Source organism: Homo sapiens, chromosome 2 (assembly GCF_000001405.40).
Source record: "Homo sapiens chromosome 2, GRCh38.p14 Primary Assembly".
Taxonomy (NCBI): Eukaryota; Metazoa; Chordata; class Mammalia; order Primates; family Hominidae; genus Homo; species Homo sapiens.
The window spans coordinates 184,935,354-184,961,302 of record NC_000002.12 but is presented as its reverse complement, the minus strand read 5'-3'; the positions used below and the strand labels follow the sequence as shown (position 1 = coordinate 184,961,302).

The 25,949-nt window shown below is 35.0% G+C and overlaps 1 protein-coding gene across 1 annotated transcript in view; it reads right to left on the bottom strand.

Annotated features, from left to right (window-relative positions):
- ZNF804A (zinc finger protein 804A) overlaps positions 21,811-25,949 on the bottom strand; it is a 340,964-nt gene continuing 336,825 nt past the window's right edge. Inside the window, exon 4 of the mRNA NM_194250.2 lies at positions 21,811-25,520. Coding sequence (NP_919226.1) covers positions 22,277-25,520 — 3,244 coding nt within the window. The 3' untranslated portion in view covers positions 21,811-22,276. The remainder of the gene's footprint in view (positions 25,521-25,949) is intronic.

Genomic DNA, 25,949 nt, shown 5'->3' with positions numbered 1-25,949 from the left:
ATACACAGACCTTTTACTTACAGATAAATTGATCATAAGTATATCCTACAGAGGGTTTCTATATACACCCTTTTCCTAGTGCACAATTTTTCCTATTATTAACCTTTTGCATTAATATAGTATACTTGTTAAAATTAGGGAACAAATATTGATGCATTATTATTAACTAAAGTCCAAAGATTACATTAAAGTTCACTCTTTGTCTTTTATAATTCTATGGGTTTTTACAAATGCATAATGCCATGTATCCATTACAGTGTCTATATTATCTATACCATTATAGTATCTAATCATTTCACTTTTCTAAAAATATCCCTTATAATTCATCTATTCATGTTAGCTCCCTCCCCTGAACCACTGACAACCACTGATCTTTTTACTTTCTCTACAGTTTTGTCTTTTATAGAATGTCATATATAATTAGAATCATACAGTATCCTTTTCATACTGGCTTACTCACATAGCAATATGCATTTAAGTTTCTTGCTGTAATTTTTATAGCTTGGTAGCTTTATTTTTTAAACACTGAATAGGACTCCATTATATGTATATACTACAGCTAAATAAACACACACACACATACTCTTTTGTACTCATTGAGCATGTGATTTTAGAAAAATTACTTAACCTCTTAACATCAGTTTGCTCATTAATAAAATGGCTTATTAAAATATATCATAGTATAAATGTCATAATACTAATTTATAATTATAAATTATAAAATTATAATTCATGATTTATAAAATTTCTAACCCTTAGTTAATGTCAGTGTACTACGTACAACATGTCCTTATCCTTATTATACAGACCTATCAAAGAGGGTTTCTTCAAACTAAAATTTGCCCAAAATGAAAAACTCAATTTCAGAAGATATAAACAATGAGGAAGATTATTATCTCATACAGCAGGAGTTATATGGGTAAGAGTGGTGCCTTGGAAAAAAACAACTATTGGGTAGACATCCAGGAAGTGTCCATAATTTCCATCTTATCCAATACTTTGGTATTATGTGAAATATACTCTTATTGCTATAATTTGTTTCAAAACTAGCTTAATAATAAATACATGTTTGCCCCTTCCTAGACAGCTTTGTGGAATCACAGAGAATTATGGAATTATGTGTCCATAATGCTTTTTATTTTAATGTCTTCATCTATTTTTGCCTCCAGAGAAACAATGGTGTTTTTGTTGACACACAGTTGTACCTGATTTTCAATCATATTATTTCTTGCAGTATCACAGTTGGGGTTGCCAGAGATTTATAGCAAAGTCAGAACACTATTATTAAATCCATTATAGTTTTATAAGAGCATCAGGAGACTGAAGCTAAAAAGAGTACAAGCTATATGGCTTTTCTTATAAACATTTCTTTTTCTAAACGATTATGACCAATGCTGTTATTCTGTATTCAGTCAGAATATATTTTTATCCCCAGAAAAACTGTTAAGGGTAAGAAATTGCTTCAAGTAAAAGTTAATAAATTTGGATTTTGGAAAACGTATATTTCAAATGAACAGAATCACCTTTAATTCTATATTTCTAGCTTATTATTTATAAAGTTATTTTCAACAGAGAATCACTTAATACCTACTAAGGCAATCAGTGTATAAAACATTGAAGTTCCCTTATCATTAGGGTCAAGAGAGTACCACAATGCAACATGTATTCTATACCGGTTACTATTCTGGACATATGTCCTCTTTTAAAAGACTTGAGCCAATTATTTTAACTCAAGAAAGATTTTAAAAATTATTGTCATTTATTTTTATTAAATATCATTTTAACTTTTATTTTAGATGTAGAAAGTTCATGTGCAGGTTTATTGCATGCATGTATCGTGTGACACTGAGGTTTAGTTTACAAATGATCTCGTCAGCCAGGTAGTGAGCATAGTACCCAATAGGTAGCTTTACAGCCCTTGCTGTCCTCTCTCACTTGCTCCTCTAGTAGTCTCCAGTGTCTATTGTGCTCATCTTTATGTCCATGCACACTCAATGCTTAGATCCCACTTATAAGTGAGAACATGTGGCATTTGGTTTTCTGTTCCTGCATTAATTCGCTTAGGATAACAGCTTCCAGTTGAATCTACGTTGCTGTAAGGGGCATGATTTTGTGCCTCTTTATGGCTGCATAGTAGTCCATGGTATATATATACCATAGTTTTCTTATCCATTCTACCATTGATGGGCATTGATTCATATAGCTAGCCAGCTATTCCAGCACCATTTATAGAATAGGTAGTCTTTTCTCCATTGTTTATTTTTGCCAACTTCGTTATAAGTCAGATGGTTGTAGATGTGTGGCTTTATTTCTGATTTCTCTTTTCTCTTTCATAGGTTTATGAGTCTGTTTTTGTATTAGTATCATGATGTTCTGGTTACTGCAGCCATATAGTAAAGTTTGAAGCAGGGTAATGTGATACCTCTGGCTTTGTTCTTTTTGCTTATATTTGCTTTGGCTCTTCAGGCTCTTTTTCAGTTCTATGTGAATTTTACAATTGTTTTGTATAATTCTGTAAAAAATGACATTGGTAGTTTGATAGGAATAGCATTGAATCTGTAGACTGATTGCTTTGCGTATTATGGCCATGTTCATGATATTGATTCTTCCAATCCAGGAGCATGGGGTGCTTCTCTATTTGTTTGTGTCATCTATGATTTCTTTCAGCAATGTTTTATAGTTCCCTTCATAGAGACCTTTCACCCCCCTGGTTATATGTATTCCTAGGGGTGTGTGTGTGTGTGTGTGTGTGTGTGTGTGTGTGTTTGTGTGTTGTAAATGGCATTGTATTCTTGATTTGGCTCCCAGCTTGAATGTTATGGTGTATGGGAATGCTACTGATTTTTGTACATTGGTTTTGTGTCCTGAATCTTTACTGAAGTTGTTTATTAGCTCCAGGAACCTTTTAGTGGAGTCTTTAGGGTTTTCTAGGTATAGAATAATCTCATCAATGAAGAGAGACAATTTGACTTCTTTTCCTATTTGGATGCCTTTTATTTGTTTCTCTGGCCTGATTGCTCTGGCTAGGACTTCCAGTACTATGTTGAATATGAATAGTGAAAGTTGGCACCCTTGTCCTCTTCCAGTTCTTAATGGGAATGCTTCTAACATTTCCCATTTAGTACGATTTGGGCTGAGAGTTTATGTATTTGAGATATGTTCATTTGATGCCCAGTATTTCAGAAATTATTATATTTTTTATTAATTGTTCCAGAACCAGGATGCATAGTGGTGGATAGAGATCTAATTTAGAAAAAATAATGTAATTCTTTGTAAAATATGGTCATTTATTCAATTAGAAATCATTTAATTCAGCTTCCTTGGGAGAAGTCTCTGAATTACAGGTAGATTGGTTTGTTAACGATTGTATTCCTAGTTGGTATAATATTGAGAGTATAAAAATTATGCTCCTGGTTCAATCCCAGGTTAGTTTATTTCTCTGTATCTACAAAAGAATAACCAACTGTTCTACTAAATGAATAACAAAAAAAAATGTTAGTTTGTGGTAAGTGGCCTATAAAAAAACTTTTTAAAGATCTAAACTTTGTTCGTCAATTGAGAGAATTATCATTTACAAGGCTTTAGTTCTGTTTTTCACTATTTTTCATAAACTGTTTTCTCTGTGTGTCTGTCCATCTCTCTCTGTTCTAATTATCTTTGTTGGCATTTTATAAATGAGGGATCTCCAATACATTTCAACAGATTAGGAAAGAGGATCACAACCTATTCTTGTACATTTGTGTACTCTTCTATGTAGTAATAGACATCCAGTCTTATTTCTCCATATAGGTGAACACCTTTGCTATGGTCTCATCATTTCTTGACACCCTTGTAGTTATTATGTCTGTGTCTATAAACATTTGCATGCAATTAAATAAAAAGATACATTAAACAGATATAATTATTTTTGCAATTTTTTTCTGTTGGGATTAAACTATGTATTCTAAGACATATAAACACTTTTGGTTCAAATATTTAAGGTTAATTTTTTCCTTGTGCTTTATTCATGAAAAAGATACTGAAGACTGTTAGAGAAAGTAGCTAAAATTTAAAAATAAGAATAACATGAACCAACAATAAGTGAGTGATATAAACAATTTTACGTGAAATTATTTTAAAGAGTCTGAGATTTTTAGCTTTCTTGAAAGTTAACAAGTTAGCATGAACAATATTCTGTAGTTGATAGAAGTATGAGACAAATTAGCAATGAAGGGAAGTACTTATTACTTATAGCAGTATCAGCATTTTTGTGCAGGTTCTCTGATCCTCAGTTCTGACAGAGTAATGTCAAACAGACCTAGGTGACACCTGCACACAGTCAGTTGCATTAGAGCAGAGGAATACTGATTTAAGGGCCTCTGATATTTTCTCTATTTTTGCGTAATAAATCATGCCTACCTTTTCTTCAGAAGAAGAAACTATCACTCTCCTCCAAGTGCGTTCACTATTTTAACATTCTTGAGAAGAACAATTTAAAACAAAATGAATTCAGTGCCTCACTTATAAGGGATGCAGCAATGTAAAAGCCACATGGAGAATTGCCTCTCAATACCTTCTAATTTACAAAGATGATTTCTTGGGACCTGCTTGTAATTATTGGAAACATTTGAAGATGGAGAGAACATCGAATCAACATCATTTGAGAATAAAAGAGTGCTACATGATTCTAATGAGGTAGGAAAGGTAAACTGTAAAAGAATAGTAGAAAATAAAGCAGTTGTAGCAGACACTGGAATTTTACTCTTTGTGTGTGCCCTTCCTCCAGCTTCTATTTTATTTTATTTTCTTCTTAAGGGCCTGTAATTTTATTTCTAAGGTCATGAACTGGCAAGTCTTTTCACAGAACTTCCCTTGGGATACTGGTGACACTTAGCCTACACTTGCAGAGTTGAAAGCAGTGGACAGTTTTTTTTCCTGATGGCTGCTTTTAGCCAATCACAGATTGATGCTCGAATTGAAAGGTCACTATGCTTCTAATCAAGACAACACTCAAATGGAGCCTACACTTCCATGTTTTCCTGAGGAATCAGGCTGAATTTACCTTCAGAATTTTCTGGAAATAATATTCTTCTTGATTTCTTCCCTTTCCTTTCCTGGTTTTCCCTATGTTCTTAGTTTTCTTCTGGAAGCTCTTTTTTAATAAATCATTTACACACAAATTCATGTCTCAGATTCTCTTCTGGTTAACTATCCGAAGACAAATGGGAAAGATAAATGAAAAGGATAGCTAAATCCTTTTCATTAGTGCTTACCATATACCAGTAGTGTGTCAGAATTTTATTTCATTCTTACAACAACGCTGAGATAAATATTATTATTCCATTTTACTTATGAGAAGCCGAGGTTCAGAGAGGTTTAACTAACTAACTTGTCTAAGTCCTGAGCTAGTAAGTGTCTTAGTCTGCTTAGGCTGCCGTAACAAAATGCCATAGACTGAGAGGCTTAAAAGCAGGAATGTATTTTCTCACAGTGTGAAGGCCGGAAGTGAAAATCAGGGAGCCAGCATGGTCAGGTTCTGGTAAGGGCTCTCTTTCGGGCTTGCAGATGGTTGCTTTCTCACTGTGTCCTCATATGGCATGGAAAAGGAGAGAGATCTCTCACTCTTCCTCTTCTTATAAGGACACTAATCCCATTATGAGGGCACCACTTTCATGACATAATCTAACAGTAATTACCTCCCAAAGGTCCCATCTCCAAATACCATCACACTGGGGCTCAGGGTTTCAACATAACAATTCTAGAGGGCCACAAACTTTCAGTCCATTGAAGTGGTGAAGCTCAGTTCTAGAGCTGCCTCCTAAAAACTGTGCTCCTAAATATTTAATGTAAGTTTGTGGGAGAAATGTATGTCTTTTTCCCTCCTGCAGAGTTTAGGAAATCTAGTTCAACTTCTAGGCTTCTGAACTGTACTTTTCTACTAAAAGAGCAGCTCTGAAGAATGTTTTCATGTTATTATTGGTATAGATATATTTTAGTTGGAGGTACATGACAGATCCTAAATGCTAGATTATCTAACCCGTATTTGAAAACCTCTTATGAGTTTCTTAGCTTTCCTGCATTTGCTGCAATAGGTGTATCTCAGGTAAGTAGAGGTCACTGAGATGAGCCACTCTGAAGTGTCCAAAAACACAGTATTTCCAAGGAAAAGAGTACATTTTCAGAGGCAGTGCTTAGAGACTTGATCCACCTGTGGATCTTGAGAGTTAACTTATCGAGTTGGATATTTTGCTAAATTTTGACTCATTGGGCTGATTGACATAGAAGCAGAATTCTTAATGAAATGTCTTTGTATTAGCAGCAACTAACTAAAATAACTTTATTAATTCTTGAATAAAAGAGTCTTATAGCTTCCCTCCTAGTCTGAACAGGAATTTGCCTTTATTTTCTTATAGTACCCTTGTGAATAAGAAAAGAATAGAAAACTTCCAGTCTAGTAATGATGAAACCATTCCACAAGGAATCAACAAGTTCAAACTGCTTGGGTGCATGCCACATCCAATCCAACTTATTTAAAATTAATATTATTTTTAATGGCCAAAAACCATTACAAATGATTACAAATTATAAAAATGTCTTAAGATATAGTTCACTAAAAGAAAAAAATCAAAACAGCAACAAGGACATAGGAGAACAAAGGAAGCTTTTTTGTTTTCTAAAAAATAATACATAAAATTAATCTTGCATAGAATTTGCCTTAATATTTTGATTTATAAATTAAATAGTAAAGGGAAAAATTATATTATTAAATGAAATAGGTCACATAATATAAACTTGAAAATGAAAAAAGTGTTGACTTTATGAGTCAATAAAATTATGACTGATTTTAATCAAATAAGTTATCTCTATTGAAAGTGTGTTAAATAATAAGGAATATGGACCATTTGATTCTCAAAGTAAGATATTAAGTAAAATATATTCAACACCTTAATATTTATGTACATGTGAATTATATAAAACAGATGACTCATATAAAGTTAAAATATTAAGCCTTTAAAAATGTCTCAGATTTCCTTATGCCTACTTCCACTATTATTCAACTAATATTTTTGAACATATGAATACCTACAGTCATTTTTCATATCGTATAGTATTAGTCTTATCCAGGTTTCCTTATATAATTTGGTTTCCTCACATTCAACTGTATCCTAAAAGGAAACATGAATAATGATACTAAGGAAAAATAATCAATAAGTTATATTTGTTTTACTAGGAAATTTCAAAAAAATTTACATGAATAACATCAGTGAACAACTTGGAACTGCTTTACAGAATTTAAGTCCAGAGGATATTATAAACATACATTCAAGCTCTATATTAACATATAAGGAATCTAAGTTGCACATAAATTAATTGATAAACATGATCTTATACCTAGTCAAATCTTCATATACATGCAGTAGAGCTGGACATCATTATAAAATCTAAACCTATTTTTATAGTGTTTATAACCATAATTCTATTTCTTTCTACCCCTTTGTAGGTATTCTAAAAAGCTTTGCGTATATTTTCTTGCCCACAATTCTCTTTTAAAGTCAATGCAATATGGCTTCTAGGCTTACCATTCTATTAAAACTACCATATCAGACTCAGCAATGGCTTAGGTCATGAAACGAAGAATGCATGCTTCTCATTTACTTAAACACTTAAAGCTATTGACAACTCTTAAACATGCCCTTTTACTTAAAACTGTCTCTTGCTACCATTTTCATGGTGCTATAATTTTCTAGTTTATATTCAAGCTCTATGGATACTTTGTGTCCTCTGTAGTTGTTTCCTTTTCTTCCCAAGCTTAAATGCTGGTTGCTATTTCCAGGATTGACTTCTCTCTGTAGTCTTTACATTTTTTCAGAGGGTAATCTCAAATCTCATAATATTTTAATTAAAATGAACAGGGTGATGATTCCAAAATACATTTCCTTAGTATATGTGTATGTGTATATATGTGCCTTTTAACTTTATACCTGTATAATAGATTATTTTAAAATGATCTGCATTTGTATCTTTTCAGAGTAATTGAATTCTAAATTCCCTTTAAAACTGATTCTCAAAGCATAATGAGTAGCTGTTAGGATATGCTGTAGGACACCATTACACTTACTATCACTACTGTTGATAATTTGCTTACCAAAATTCAGATTTGTTTGTTCTCAGATCACTTTGTTCATGTTTCATTTGTTACTATAATTATATAATTTAATTCAGTGTTAAGTGAAATGATGAAATGTGAATATAAGCAGATACAGTTTATTCCTTAGCATGCTTTAGAAATTCTAAATTAAGGTGGTTGCTAACTAAATTATTTTAACTGTGGTGTGAGTATAGCTATATAAGATAGGAGAAAAATAAATAATTTAAAAACACAATTTTAATTTGTTCAGAAATGTATTTAAGTCCTCAGTACATTTTAAATAAGAAAACTTAGAAGTCCATAGATGATTTATTTTGAGTATGGATTATGTAGAAAAAGATGACCAATAACTTCAAAGGATTATGTAAGAAAAGGTGACTAATAACTTTGAATAAATTCAAAGCAAAGACCTTGGATCTATAGCACAATGTTGGTAAATTTAAAGTACAACAAGATAATGTGAGTTAGTACACGATGCTTATACTGTGCCTGTGTGCATATGTGCCTTAATGTGTACTTCATCGCTTTAAGCAAGAGATAGACAACAAACATATTTTTATTGTTTCAGTTAAGAGAGTTTCTACTACAGCTTGAACTATTTATAAGACTGCCCTACTTAGACATATTCCAGGTACCTCAAATTTCTCTTTTAATTGTCTTTTTTTTGAGATTATAGTAGATTCAAATGCAGTTGCAAGAAATAATATGAAGATATCCCATGTACCTTTGGCCCAGTTTCCCCCAAAGGACGTATCTTACAAAATTACAGTATTTGAAGATGTTATCTTCCATTCTCCAACTTTTGCTTACTGACTTTCATTTCTATCTTCTCTCCTTGCATTATTTATGAATAACCACATCAACCTAATTATGCAGGCCAGAAACTTAAATTTCATTTGTAAATCCTCTTTTGCCCTCTTCCAAAACTTCTCCTATAACATAAACCCCTACAAGACTTATAGATTATCTAACTTTTTGATTATCCAAATAATATGATTTCTATTTGCTAGCTAGTACTTGAAACTTCCTTTATTTTTCTTGTCTCCTCAACACCCACCAATGAACACACACATACTAATCGACTCTTTCTTATAGAATCCTACTGATAATTCTAATCTGATACTCTCAATGAGGGTTATTTACCTTGCTATTTAAAAACTATTAGGGACTATCATCTTACACATAAATTCCTTAATGAGTTCTCTGGCTTTTGTGTTGCTTTTCTCTTCCCTCATTTATCAGAATTTCTTTTATTCTTAATATGTTATATGCTTTCTCAACATATTATGTTTATTAAATTTATTATATTACTCAGCCGTCTTATGAAAATGGCTATTTGTTTTTCAACTTCCCCCTTTAGACTCTAAATTCCTTGTTGATAGACTTTATTTCTATTCACTGTTTACTCTCCAGAGCCTAGGAGAGTGCCTGGAACATATTAGACATAAATGATCATCAGAGACAGGTTAGCCTATAAAGGCATTTAATTGAAGAGGCACCTCAAATATGACAATAGCATGGTTACAGCCAGCAGGGGTATAGCATGGTTATATCATTAGGCATAGTTTATCTCCTTCTCCTGAGCACTGATCAAAACTGAGGACAAGTGACCTTGGCTAAAGAATTATTTATTCAATAATTTACTAGAATAGTTATCATGTCATTTTCCTGGTATAACTATGTTTGTCTCCCTTATTCTGGAAGACCTAGGGAAACACGAGATTTATTGATGACATAGAAAATGAAGGTGTCTTACAGTTTTCCAGTAGTTGGGAATTTTTTTTTCCCATCTTATATTATAATGTACCTGAGCGTATATTCCACTCCATTTCTTGACTGTGACTGCAGAGAGACAGAGGCTAGCATCTCATTAAGGAGAAAATGTCCAGGAATTCCATGCAGCAACGATCGGGCAGCCCTTGGGAGGTGTGCATGTGTGTGTTGTGTGTATGTTTGTTCCATAAAGTATGGTTAGAGAGACAAAACTCATCCCAGACTTCCTGCAGACATGGAATCCAATGCCTCTAGCTCTGGACTTTTGTGAAAATAGAAGTGATAATGACCAGTAGAGGGTAGACTGCCAGGTCCCTCCCTGTGTGCTAGTCCTAACTGAATGATTTGGACTTCGGAAAATTTGTTACTTGCTGAAGCAGCAGTAAAAGTTTACATCTCTCAAAATACGATGAAGACCAGCTCCTGGATTCATTGATTTTTTGAAGGGTTTTTTGTGTCTCTATTTCCTTCAGTTCTGCTCTGATTTTAGTTATTTCTTGCCTTCTGCTAGCTTTTGAATGTGTTTGCTCTTGCTTTTCTAGTTCTTTTAATTGTGATGTTAGGGTGCCAATTTTGGATCTTTCCTGCTTTCTCTTGTAGGCATTTAGTGCTATAAATTTCCCTCTACACACTGCTTTGAATGCGTCCCAGAGATTCTGGTATGTGGTGTCTTTGTTCTCGTTGGTTTCAAAGAACATCTTTATTTCTGCCTTCATTTCGTTATGTACCCAGTAGTCATTCAGGAGCAGGTTGTTCAGTTTCCATGTAGTTGAGCGGCTTTGAGTGAGATTCTTAATCCTGAGTTCTAGTTTGATTGCACTGTGGTCTGAGAGATAGTTTGTTATAATTTCTGTTCTTTTACATTTGCTGAGGAGAGCTTTACTTCCAACTATGTGGTCAATTTTGGAATAGGTGTGGTGTGGTGCTGAAAAAAATGTATATTCTGTTGATTTGGGGTGGAGAGTTCTGTAGATGTCTATTAGGTCTGCTTGGTGCAGAGCTGAGTTCAATTCCTGGGTATCCTTGTTGACTTTCTGTCTCGTTGATCTGTCTAATGTTGACAGTGGGGTGTTAAAGTCTCCCATTATTAATGTGTGGGAGTCTAAGTCTCTTTGTAGGTCACTCAGGACTTGCTTTATGAATCTGGGTGCTCCTGTATTGGGTGCATAAATATTTAGGATAGTTAGCTCCTCTTGTTGAATTGATCCCTTTACCATTATGTAATGGCCTTCTTTGTCTCTTTTGATCTTTGTTGGTTTAAAGTCTGTTTTATCAGAGACTAGGATTGCAACTCCTGCCTTTTTTTGTTTTCCATTGGCTTGGTAGATCTTCCTCCATCCTTTTATTTTGAGCCTATGTGTGTCTCTGCACGTGAGATGGGTTTCCTGAATACAGCACACTGATGGGTCTTGACTCTTTATCCAACTTGCCAGTCTGTGTCTTTTAATTGCAGAATTTAGTCCATTTATATTTAAAGTTAATATTGTTATGTGTGAATTTGATCCTGTCATTATGATGTTAGCTGGTGATTTTGCTCATTAGTTGATGCAGTTTCTTCCTAGTCTCGATGGTCTTTACATTTTGGCATGATTTTGCAGCGGCTGGTACCGGTTGTTCCTTTCCATGTTTAGCGCTTCCTTCAGGAGCTCTTTTAGGGCAGGCCTGGTGGTGACAAAATCTCTCAGCATTCAATAAAATACTGGCAAACTGAATCCAGCAGCACATCAAAAAGCTTATCCACCACGATCAAGTGGGCTTCATCCCTGGGATGCAAGGCTGGTTCAATATACGCAAATCAATAAATGTAATCCAGCATATAAACAGAGCCAAAGACAAAAACCACATGATTATCTCAATAGATGCAGAAAAAGCCTTTGACAAAATTCAACAACCCTTCATGCTAAAAACTCTCAATAAATTAGGTATTGATGGGACGTATTTCAAAATGATAAGAGCTATCTATGACAAACCCACAGCCAATATCATACTGAATGGGCAAAAACTGGAAGCATTCCCTTTGAAAACTGGCACAAGACAGGGATGCCCTCTCTCACCGCTCCTATTCAACATCGTGTTGGAAGTTCTGGCCAGGGCAATCAGGCAGGAGAAGGAAATAAAGGGTATTCAATTAGGAAAAGAGGAAGTCAAATTGTCCCTGTTTGCAGACGACATGATTGTTTATCTAGAAAACCCCATCGTCTCAGCCCAAAATCTCCTTAAGCTGATAAGCAACTTCAGCAAAGTCTCAGGATACAAAATCAATGTACAAAAATCACAAGCATTCTTATACACCAACAACAGACAAACAGAGAGCCAAATCATGAGTGAACTCCCATTCACAATTGCTTCAAAGAGAATAAAATACCTAGGAATCCAACTTACAAGGGATGTGAAGGACCTCTTCAAGGAGAACTACAAACCACTGCTCAAGGAAATAAAAGAGGATACAAACAAATGGAAGAACATTCCATGCTCATGGGTAGGAAGAATCAATATCGTGAAAATGGCCATACTGCCCAAGGTAATTTACAGATTCAATGCCATCCCCATCAAGCTACCAATGACTTTCTTCACAGAATTGGAAAAAACTACTTTAAAGTTCATATGGAACCAAAAAAGAGCCCGCATCGCCAAGTCAATCCTAAGCCAAAAGAACAAAGCTGGAGGCATCACACTACCTGACTTCAAACTATACTACAAGGCTACAGTAACCAAAACAGCATGGTACTGGTACCAAAACAGAGATATAGATCAATGGAACAGAACAGAGCCCTCAGAAATAATGCCGCATATCTACAACTATCTGATCTTTGACAAACCTGAGAAAAACAAGCAATGGGGAAAGGATTCCCTATTTAATAAATGGTGCTGGGAAAACTGGCTAGCCATATGTAGAAAGCTGAAACTGGATCCCTTCCTTACACCTTATACAAAAATCAATTCAAGATGGATTAAAGATTTAAACGTTAGACCTAAAACCATAAAAACCCTAGAAGAAAACCTAGGCATTACCATTCAGGACATAGGCATGGGCAAGGACTTCATGTCCAAAACACCAAAAGCAATGGCAACAAAAGCCAAAATTGACAAATGGGATCTAATTAAACTCAAGAGCTTCTGCACAGCAAAAGAAACTACCATCAGAGTGAACAGGCAACCTACAACATGGGAGAAAATTTTCGCAACCTACTCATCTGACAAAGGGCTAATATCCAGAATCTACAATGAACTCAAACAAATTTACAAGAAAAAAACAAACAACCCCATCAAAAAGTGGGCGAAGGACATGAACAGACACTTCTCAAAAGAAGACATTTATGCAGCCAAAAAACACATGAAGAAATGCTCATCATCACTGGCCATCAGAGAAATGCAAATCAAAACCACTATGAGATATCATCTCACACCAGTTAGAATGGCAATCATTAAAAAGTCAGGAAACAACAGGTGCTGGAGAGGATGTGGAGAAATAGGAACACTTTTACACTGTTGGTGGGACTGTAAACTAGTTCAACCATTGTGGAAGTCAGTGTGGCGATTCCTCAGGGATCTAGAACTAGAAATACCATTTGACCCAGCCATCCCATTACTGGGTATATACCCAAAGGACTATAAATCATGCTGCTATAAAGACACATGCACACGTATGTTTATTGCGGCACTATTCACAATAGCAAAGACTTGGAACCAACCCAAATGTCCAACAATGATAGACTGGATTAAGAAAATGTGGCACATATACACCATGGAATACTATGCAGCCATAAAAAATGATGAGTTCATGTCCTTTGTAGGGACATGGATGAAATTGGAAACCATCATTCTCAGTAAACTATCGCAAGAACAAAAAACCAAACACCGCATATTCTCACTCATAGGTGGGAATTGAACAATGAGATCACATGGACACAGGAAGGGGAATATCACACTCTGGGGACTGTGGTGGGGTCGGGGGAGGGGGGAGGGAGAGCATTGGGAGATATACCTAATGCTAGATGACACGTTAGTGGGTGCAGCGCACCAGCATGGCACATGTATACATATGTAACTAACCTGCACAATGTGCACATGTACCCTAAAACTTAGAGTATAATAAAAAAAAAAAAAAAACTAAGCCATTGAAACTAATAGAAAGTATTCAAGCAACTAAAAATTTAGTAGTAATGCTTTAATGGATGAAAAATAAACTGAATATTACAAAAAAAAAAAAATACGATGAAGACTTGAAGTCGTTTTGAAAGAAATGCAGCATACCTGAGGGCAAGTGAGCCAGGTCAGGAACAAAAACATTACCTCCCTGTGAATGAGGGTTTTTTTGGTTTTGTTTTTGTTTAACCAGGTAAAGTCATACTCAGTGCCTGATTTAACATTTATACTCCCACTTTGTAATTCCTTCACCTACCTCAAAATGTCCCAGCCCATTAATTAAGAAAGCCACATACGTGTTCCTTTCCAAAGGCACTATGGGACAACGTGATATAGGAACACTGTGGCCTGCTTTACTCAACCTCTTGACTGTGATTGTAAAGGAAGAGTAGCTTTGCCAAGGGGAGAATGTTCAGAAGTTGCAGGCAGTTACTATCATGTAGTACAATGGGCACTGGTTCCTGGGAAGGAAGAGAGAAAGCATTCAGTACTGCAAAGCAGCTTTCATGTAACAGATTTTGAGATTTTTTTTTAATCCACTTTCTGTCACTAAGTTCAGGTCTCACATGTAATTTAATTTTAGATTTGTTTGCTGAAATAATGAATTATTTTTCATACAGAAGGTTTTGTTTTTGTACTCTATCTAAAACTCTGTATCTATAGCCAATTTTTAAACTTCATTGTTGGTAAAGTCTTATTTTAGTCAACATGGATAAACCAGTTCTTAACATAGACAGAACCTCCAACAAATTGACAGTATAACCACAATGAGCTTTAATAGCTACCTCTAACAGTACTACATTTATTTATATACAAATGCATTGCTGTAGAGTCTTTTCTATGCTAACATGTTTAGGCAAAGCTTTTCTATATGGAATAATAATGTTACATTATATTTGTTTAGCAATTTTAAAAGATAGTGTCAAGACAGTGTTATATATTAGCACAGAGGATTGGCAAGCACATAATTAATCCTTAGGTACTATAAAATGCAATTATAATTGCTAGTGTGTAAAATTATTTAAAATATTACATTATGCTTCACACTACCTAAGAAATTGTATGGGCTCACAAAGGTCATGGTCTGAAAAGTTGTAATGCAGGATAGAAAATAAAAGATTTCACATCTCAAAACTTATTAATATTTCTATCATTGTTTTATTTCAGTACAACTGTTCTGGGAATGAAAGCCATTTAATAAAAACTATAATCTGTTTGAGGCTTATCATTTTAATGTGAAGATTGATTCTCTGCCAACAGTCATAAGTTGAAGTAATAGTCACTTGCAAAATCATTAGATTAAAAAACAAGTTGAATGTGGTAAGCAGATTAGTCAAAACTCAAAGCATTAATTTGAAGCATAGCTATTTTCAGAGATGCACAGAAAACATGGGCTTCCATATTAAGGCACCTTAAATGTTGGATTTTTAAAAACTAAAGTCTCCTTGACTTTAAAATGTTGTAACTTAGGTAACCTCAGTCAAGAAATATAAGGGGAATTATTCAAAAGGAGGATAATGTGCAATGTAAGTCAATAAGCATCCAGAAGAAACATAATTTACTCGGTTACAGAAGCTGGTTGCAACAAGTTCAACTAGAATAATCAAGACACAGTGTCTGGGTTGCAAGCTTAGGCACTAGCAAGACGATGGATCAATTAGAAAACACAACAGGAGCAAACCCCAGGCAGCAGTTACATTCTGCAGAGCACAATACAGTGCCAACAGGAGCTAGGAAGGAGCATAGGGTCTAGTCTTGTTCTCGAGGGGAATGTGAACTAAGCAGAGTAACGAGGGAGCTTAGGCTATGAGAGGGTTTTCCAGTTAGAGGTTAAGTAATTGCACAAAGCTACTGGAGCAAAAGGAAAATGATTCTTTTACACAATGACTCAAGTCTTGCTTCTAGTTAATTGAATCTTAGTTTTGTAAGGTCCGATAAAAATTCAGGTCTGGTAGAGTTGTTTGTTATGGAATTAGAGATAATAGAACATTTTTGGAAAAAACTAAAGGTTTAATGTGAGGCCTGTCATCAAAACTCCTTTACTTAATACATGGGCCCTTCCCAAAGAATGTATGTTTTATGCCTATACCATCAATAAACATGTTGAAAAAGGAAAGAAAATTAATATTAAATGAAATAATTAAAATAGTCTTAATCAATACAGTCTAGATACAAAAGGTAATAATACTAAACAAAGTATGCTTTGTTCAATTGAAATATAATGAGATCTATTTTTAAAAAATCTGAAGTACATAATAAAATATTCTAAATACTGTGAAGATAATAAAAGTATAGAAAATCACCACATGAAAAATGTTAGGAAGTAATTTGTAAAAAATTAAAATGCAGCAGTTGAAACCAGATTTTTTTTCTTTCTTTTTTTTTTTTTTTTGAGACAGAGTCCTGCTCTGTTCCTGGAGTGAATTGGCTTTTTTTGACTCATTGCAACCTCTGCCTCCTGGGTTCAGGCGATTTTTCTGTCTCAGCCTGCCAAGTAGCTGGCGTTATAGGTGCCTGCCACCATGCCCGGCTAATTTTTGCATTTTTAGCAGAGAGGGGCTTTCACCATGTTAGCCAGGCTAATCTCAAACTCCTGACCTCAAGTGATCTGCCTGCCTCGGCCTCCCAAAGTGCTGGGATTAGAAGTGTGCGCCCCCCCGCACCTCTCCTAAAACCAGAATTTTTAAAACTGAAAATATTAATATTAATTAAATATGTAAACACATATATTCAAAATAAGAGTTATCAATAAATTATCAATAAAAATAATGAAGTAATTTAAAAACAACAAGTTTGTCCAAATGTTGTGGGTTATCGTTAAGCTGATTAAAATAACAGTTTAGGAGATTAAGGGAGAAAATAAAAGAGATTATTTAAAAATAACAGTTTAGGATATTAAATAAGAAGAAAGCTGGTTACACTTTTAATTTTCTACCAGGAACTTCCAGGCTCAAGTAGATTCCAGAGCTCACATTCTTAAAGGTCAAAAGCTCAGGGCAGTTGCTAGTCTACAAAATGCTTGTATCCATAAGTAAAAGTATCTTGCTATAGGCATTTGGCTTAGTGGGCAATGATGTCTTTGTGTAAAAAACAAAAAGCGGTCTCTTCCTCTGAACCAATGCCTGCCATCTTGGTTGGGGGGATAAGGATGTAATCCACAAGGGTGGTAGACAGTGGCCTATGTTTCAGCCAAAATCAGCATTTTGGAACTAACTGCATAGGCTTCTACTGTTGCTTCTAAAGCAGGACTTTGGGCATCAACTCATGATATAAATAAGTCTCAATCCTTTATCCAATTTTATTTGTGAGAGAAGGTAAACAGCTTATTGGAAAACTTCCCAGGGGCAACATTCTCTCCCAAGGACACATAAGTGACAGTGGCTTAGCAGACGAATAAGTAGAAAAAAAAAAAAGTAGATAAAACAATGAGGAATGAAGAACACAGGACAGTGGTGTAATGCAATGCTGAATATAAATTCAATCTATTTTAATTGATGAATAATGAAATCTCAAACTTTGGATGGCTAAATACAAGATTTTGCATGTCTGCTTTCCATACTAGACTCAAATATCTGAATAGCAATATGTTCTATTAATATCTCTGGCCCTGAAAACTAGTTTAGTGTCTGATACATAATAATATGTTATGTTTGGTAGCAAGTATTAATAAAATGATAGAAAGATGATAGATGCAGGATAGATTAGATAAATAATAAACAGATAGATAAGCAGGTAGGTAAATAAATACATTGAGATCAAGATCAATACAGTAAAGTTTGAGCATTCCTCTTGGGCCAGAAGAAAGGGTTAAAGTTGTGCTTTGATTTTTGGTGGTAGAGTTCTATTTTAAGTGATCTACAATTCCATTAAAAAAAAGTTCTATATATTTAACATGTTGAAACCGTATTTAGTTTTGAAAAATTATCTTTTTATTTAGAAGGATTTAGGACTTATTTGGAGTAAAAATAGGTAACAATTCTGGAACCCTAGTACACTCTTCATAGATTTTAATTATATTTTTTCAATTCATTTTATTCTTCACTTAACAAAATTTTGTTAAATGTTTACTATGTGTTAACATTCTACAGAGACTCAAGGAGCTCTCAGTCTAGTGATTTTGACAAACAAGGCAATATATTCGACACAGAGAATACTCTATGACAAAATTTGTGCTCGGCATGTTACAGGAAGAGAGAAGACAAGAAGCCATCTCATTAGGGGAGAGGGGGAACCTGGGAGAGAATTCCTAAAAGAAATCGACATCTTGAATTTTGGCTCTTTAGTGGTTATCCAAGTGAAGAAATATAGAGAGAGTAGGGCATTGTAGGACAGCAAAACATGCTCACACAATCTCAAGGGAGATTTAGATCAGTACATTAGAATGGTTGGCCCAGAGGAGAGCTGGAAGGAATGATCCTGAGAGGCTGGAACCTACTTCAGCACAGATTTTCCAAGACATACTAAGGACTTTGGTGTTTATCTTGAGAATAATTGAAAACTCTGAATAAGTTTTAAAGTAAGGACATGTCATAATAAGACTACATTTTAAAAATGTAGCCCTGGTGAGAGCAGTGTTAGAAGATGAATTGCAGAAAAGGGAGACTGGGAGGATGGAGACATTGATTTAAAACAGCAATTCAGCATATGGACAACTAAAAGCAGGAGAAATGGAATTGAAAAAAAATTTAAGGAAATAGAGCCAAATGGTTCTTGATTGCTTTGATGTGGGCATAAACTTATAACTTGAATAACAGGTTTTATTATAATGATATCCACAAAGTTTGGAAACAGAGAAAAGAACAGATTTTGGTAGTATGTATAAAGTAAGATGATGGGTTTGAGTTCTGAGTTCAAAATACTTGGAAGATATCCAGGTTAAGATGTCCTGTGGATAGTTTGATATAGGACTTTGACTTATAAAAAAAACTTGGTGAAAATGTATAATTGACACATGCATAGTAGTTGAAGTTGTGGATGACTTTCCTTCCTATTATCCAATGTAAAAACCTTTGTTAATTGGCTACAGTTACTTTCTACATTCAGGTTTCATTCTATTTTCCAAATCATTCATCCTTACAATAACAAATGGTATGACAATGCCTGTAACTAGCAGACTAGAGATGGTGGGTAAGAGATAGTGTTAGAATCATTTAAATTTCCAAAGTATATAGGATGTACAACAATTCATGCTGGGAAAGGACTGAAATTTTTTCTTCAGGATACACCTTATAGCACACTGTCAGCCAGCATCCAAAACTACTTCCAGAGTATGACTGCCCGAATGGCTTGACTCTTGCTGCCATTAATGTGGGCTTGCCTGGTGGTCCTCTGACAGCCTCACTGCCTAATGACAGCTCTCTGACTTACCTGTCTGGTTGCTCTGCTCATTGTTGTTCTTCAGCCTATTGGCCTGATTTCCTTGATTCTGGAGTTGATGTTGTCAGAATAGTTGAATATGTGTGTCTCACCATCCATTCATTTTGAGTCCTTGACACATAACAGATGCCCAGACCATGTAAGCAATATCTTAGCAATGTATCAGAAAACTAGAAGAATTTTTTATAATCAGACTGACTTTGACAGTGATTAACTAGGTTCAAGTTTCTTGTCCAGACCTGGTATCCATGAGAACCAATTATTTTATCTGTAAAGCTGAGTTTTAATTAATCTTAATAGAGAACTTTCCTCCTCAAAGTTTCTAGAAATTCCTGTCATATATCTAGCAATCAGGCACATTCTCCTACAACTAAAAAGTTAACCATACCTAACCATATCATTTAACAAATAAATAAGAGAGAAGCAGAATTTGAAAAACATGAATGATAACATGGTGAAAGAAAAGGAGGCACATAATACACAAATGATGTCTGCAATAACATCAACAAAGATCAATAAACAAAGCAATTGCAGGATTAAAACAAGAGGTAAGAGGTGAACAACCAAGATGATAGAAGATACAAAGAAGAGGAAAATATGCATGTTTTAAAGTCAAACACTTGGTTTGATTTTTTAACATCAAAAACAGCAATTCTGCTTTGACAGATTAAAAACAAACTGGGTCAGCATTCCCCAGTAGATATCTCCATCTATTTTATCTTCAAAGATAGTTTCAAATATTTTGCCTGGGGAAAAAATCATCCTTTCCAATTTTAGTTCCTGTTTTTTGAACATATTATCTTACAGCATTTGACATGGAATTGCTTCCTTATTATTTTTATCTACTTATTAGTCAATCATTAAATGGTATACTCAGTCTTTCACAAGCATTTTTCAGGTGAACCTTCAAATAAACCAGTGATTATTATGCCAAATATCATGAAAGTAAATGGCCTAGATTTTCTTTCTTATTTTTCTTACATAAGATATAATTAAATATTGATTATTTTTATATGGGAAAATACTTTTAGGTCCCTAATTATTTAGGGTAATCCAGTTCCTATGCTAGCCATATACAATATTTCCTCAGTACAGCATCATTTAAAACTTGCTTTCCATTTAAAGTGACTCAATTGGGCTCTGAAACCCTGGACTTATTGCCAGGCTACTATAATCTGCTCTTATTGCAAATGGTGAGGACAACCCACTTTAAAAGGGATGTATACTTTGTCTTGCCAATGGTATGGACTGGGACAGGTATAAGAAATATTCTTGGGGAAAGCGTGCTATTTCCTAGTTCTCTATTGACTCATTATATTCTTAAGTACACATAAAAGCACTTGAGTGAGCAGTAATGCAGAGGTCATTAAAAATAAAGCAGAGCCTGTAATCCCAGCACTTTGGGAAGCCGAGGCAGGTGGATCACTTGAGGTCAGGAGTTCAAGACCAGCCTGACCAACATGGAAAAACCCCGTCTCTACTAAAAATGCAAAAATTAGCCAGGCATGGTGGCATGCACCTGTAATCCCAGCTACTTGTGAGGGTGAGGCAGAAGAATGGCTTGAACCCGGGAGGCAGAGGTTGCAGTGAGCCAAGATCACGCCACTGCACTCCAACCTGGGCAACACAGCAGACTCTGTCTCAAAAAAAATAAATAAATAAAATAAAGCAGAATCTGGAAGAGTGATGTGGACTTTCTAATTGTTCCTGAGCGATTTAAAAATACAATACAAGCATAACTACTAGAAAGATTTGCAGGTAGAAGGACTATTTATTTACTCTCCATCCCACTTCCAGATTCTCAATTAAGAGTAACATCCTTATACAGATTGTGTTTACGCCGTTCATCCCAAGATGTTATATAACAGGCAGTGGTTTATTAAAGTTAAACCTATTCCTTAATTCATGCCAATATTTCCACGTATTTCCCACAATAATTAAAAATAAACACAATAAATTTGGGAATTTAAACATTATAAGCACTTATATTGGTTATTTACCATTGCTTGTCTATTAGTCCTGTTCTAGAGTTCCAGAAAGAGTACTACATACTTTGCGTATTTTTGAGTTATTACCCACCCAAATACTAAAATTACTTTAACGTGAATTTCCATGGATTATTGTCTAAAGAGGGGGTCAATTGTTTAGAAAATATAGTAAACTTTGAGTATAAGTAACATTGGAAAAACAGAAAAACAAATCGACCCTCTGTTACACTATTCTAAAAGATAGTATCATAGTTAAAGTATTGATAGAGCTCCAAGGATGTTTTGATGGGCCTTGGAGATTCAGAGATTCCTGTGTATGAGTAAAGTGATATAAATCCAACACCTATTGTTACTATACATTCCTAAAACAGGGAAAACCAACTAAAAACAAAAGTTCGATTTACTTAAATAGTTAACAAAAATTTATTGCAAGAGATATTTTTCACTGAATTTACAGTTTCAAGGAACATGATACAAAACATAGTGCCATCAGCTTTGTCTAAACATTAAATAGGTGCAAATACACAAAGATTAAGAAAAACCAAGGGAGCATACTTTACAACATAAATTAGAGTACTATAAATATATTTTATGTACATTATACATACTCTTAAGACATCATTTTAATATATAGCATATATTGTATTGATTTTCAAACTATTCAGTGCTTTAATAATATTATATATCAGAAACTTAGGGATTTATTTGCATCATTGCACTTACAGTAAATGATTTCAAACCAATGACGCCATGTATCGGCCAGTTTATTTCCACCAGTTAAATAGCCATGTACCCACATAGATGAACACTTAACGCATATAGCAATAGTTTTCACAAGAGTATTTTTTTCCCATTATGGTGATGACTAGAAGAGAGGTTGCAAAGGGATGACAGTAGGGTGTGGGGAAAGCAGTGAAGGAAAGAGTGCATGGGGTAAAGATGGGAAAGCCAGATGGCTAGGATGAAGAACGGAAGCTGGAATGATTGGCATCTGAGGAGGAGCAACAAAAGTTGGCTGGTTCCCAGGACAAAGCCTCGGTCCTACTGGTCCTACTGAGAGCTGAGGTAATGAGGTTCTGGTGAGAGCTGGGATTTGGGAAAGAAACTGTTGGTGTGGCTGAAGCACTTTAAAGGTTCCTGCAGCTGCGGCTGCAGCTGCAGCTGCAGCAGCTGCAGCGTGCTGCTGCAAAACAGTGTGATGGATAGTGGTTACAGAGGTAGAACATAAGGACTGCTGCAAAGGCAAAGGCTGCAGAGGTGTGCTAGGGGGTGGGAGGGCAGCTGGAGGAAAGGTAAATTTAACCTTGTTGGCCAGCATGTTTGGCTGCAGAATGTGCTGGTAGACCTCACATGGTACATTTTTGAATTTGTCATGGTTTTCTAGTGGGATCAATAATGCTTGCTCTGGTAAAGCTAATGGAGCCAGGATTTGCTCAGCTGTTACAAAAGTATGACCACTGACATGTGCTTCTTTGAATGGTAATGGTGGTTGTGTGTTAAGGATTCCTGAATTATAACGCAGCCACTCAGTTGGTGTCTCATTCATCTTTCCTTGTGGAAGGGCCTCAGCCAGTTCATAATGGCAAAGATAGGATTTAGGCTGTGACTGTCTAAAGTTCCTTTCAATATTAGGCACCTGAAAAGGAATTTGCTTTTCATTAAGATTTATATTCTCACTTCTTTCTTTGTGTTCAAGCAGGGTATTGTCAATTGCTTCTTTTGTTGGGGCACTAGCTACACAGACAGATGTGGTGGGATCATTGGAAACATCTGACAATTCACCAGAAGTGGTCTCCATTTCTAAATGCTCAGTTTCACCATTGGTTTCAGAAGGAAGGAGATTGTTAGGGTGGAAAGACAGTTTGTTTCTTAATTGGTTTGTTTGTTCTGAGTTCCTTTCGATTTTTGCAACTTCTTGTGGTTTCATTTTCTCTTTTTTGTCTTCACTTATTAACCTATCCAGAGGATTTAAGGAAGAATTGTCTTTCACGGGATAATCTGTATTTTCTTTGAGTTCTAAAGTTTCAAATCCGGGGTGGAATCTGCCTCTTTTTCGCCTCCGTTTCTTTTTAGGCTTGCAGGGAGCAACTGAAGTACTTGGTGGCCTCAAAAATTCTTCTGGTAAATGATTCTGTCGATTTAAACTTTCATCTGAAGAATAAGAATGTGAATGTTGTCTACGTTTTCGATAGAATCTTTCTGATTCATTCATGACAGAATTGTAACCTCTTTTAACAGCCTGATTCTGACTCATGTGTTTCATATCATTTTGAAGAACTAAGCTTCTGTGATCCTGACTACAGCTTGACATTTTGGTTTTCCAACAACAGTAAGTTCTAGAATATGTTAAATTATGTTTCCCAGAATGTATCATTGTTGCATTTGATTGTCCATTTAAAAGTATTGTGTTCTTTTTACAGTGGTTTTTAGAACTGATAGTATCATAAGTGTTGTATTCAGTATTCCATGTTTTACACATTTCTTCATTGTCACTTAAGGATATGGATTCTGATTTGGGCCTTTTATCAAGTAACTGATGTGAGTCTAATAATTGCTCTGCAGCTAAATACTGCTTTTCTGAAATTGGTTCCAATAGATATTTCCCAGCATTTTCAGTGTAACTATTCTCTGCTTCCATTTTGCAGCGAGTTTCTGATTCTTTGGTTTTCTCCATATGATGATGCTGACATAACTTTTTTCTTTTTTTCTTTCTTCTACTTTTATGGAACCAGTATTCATGGGTCTCTTTCAACCTTATTTTGTTGTATTTTTCATCTAGAGTGTCCTGTTTTATTTGACTTTTAGTAAAATTATACTTTTCTGTTTCTCTGATCTTACAGGAAATGTTTTTATACCTCTGACCTGTGTTCTCATTTTTTCCAGAATCACAACTACTGGAGAGAATATCATCAGCCAAAAGAGGAGTGACTTGGCTGCATTTATTTTTGCTACTTCCAATTTCATAATCAGTGAGTCCTTCTGTAGATACATCCTTGTAATCTGAAAGTGGTCCCATGCAAATGTCTTCCTGCTTCTGCTGAGAACAAAGATCTTTTAAGTCTGGCTTATTTTTATCTAGATTATTATTTACTTTAGTAGACTTGAAGTCAAAACATAGAGGATTACAGCTATAGGAAATTGATGGTTTCGTAGTTGTATAAACCAGCATTTCTGATGGCCACTGAAGAACTGTAGATCTGTGTTTGTTAAGGACAGGTACAAATGGCTCACATTGTCTTTTGCAGAAATTTGTTTTCTTATGTATAGTTATGTTAACCTCTTCAGTATTTGAAGGGGCCAATGTCTCGGGACCATTTTTATTTTCAACCTCAGTTGTGGATGCCTCGTTATGCTTAACATTTTCCTCTGTGGTAGCTTGCACAGATATGCAATCATTAGACATGTCAAGAACTGTGGATTTATTTCCTAACAACTCAAAACTGTTACCACTAACAGGTATGTCTTCATTAATAACAACACTCTCTAGTGGTATTTGATCTGCTAATGGGACTGAATTTTGACAATTATCTGCATCAGAAGATAACTGAAGTTGAAACTTGCAAAATGAAGGTAATAATAATGCATCTTTTTCACTAGAGACTTCTTTTATCTCTTGAGTTTGAACAGTTTCTTTGTCTCTGCACATTGCCTCTGGTGGATGAAAAGAGTTAGTTTTCTCCTCAGAACTCAAAAGCACATCTGTTGGTGAAGATTGTTGAAGATGACAAGCACTGGGGACAAATCTACTTTTTCTGCTAAATCCTTTTCCCACTGAGGCATCATCACTGTATTCAGAGAAGGCTGCAGCTGAGGACTCTAGCTTCACGGACGCTTTCTTTGGAAATGCAAAAGAAAAGCCGATTTTGTGTCTGTGAATCCCCTGGGCTTGATCCCCAACTTGGTTATTTTTTGCTGTATAATTATTTGCACTTTCTGGATCTTCAGCAACAGTGGTAGCATCTTTAGTATTCTCTTCACTATGAATCAAAGTATATTTGAAATCTTGCTGGTTATTAACTGAATCCACAACAACTCGTTGGGAAATTTCATTACAGTTTTCTCTCACAGTAACAGTTGTTGATTTGAACATGGGGCCACTTCCAGGAGCACTAGAGAGAGAAACAGAAGCATGTGTTAAATAGCACACTTTTGAGAAAAAAAAATAGTCAAATATTTTCATCTTTAAAAAGTCATTATAATATTTTTTCAAATTTTAAAATCTTTGTGACAGAATTGCCTTCATATGGTGTAAGTACTTTCCATGGTGCCACAATATCATTTACTTGTTGGTTACTGTTTGGAATAACTTGGAAATATTGTCCTGAAGTTGCTTTTATAGCTGTTATGAGCAATGTTGAGGATATGCTCTTAACCAGTTCTATCTGACCAAAATTGTCTACCTTCATGGCCTCTTCTGTGATATTTTGAAGTGTTGTATTGTCTAAAGTAAAATTACTTTTGATTCACACATACTTAATATCATTGATGCTATATGGTAAATATGATGAAAGTTCTAAACAAAACCCTTAATCATGACT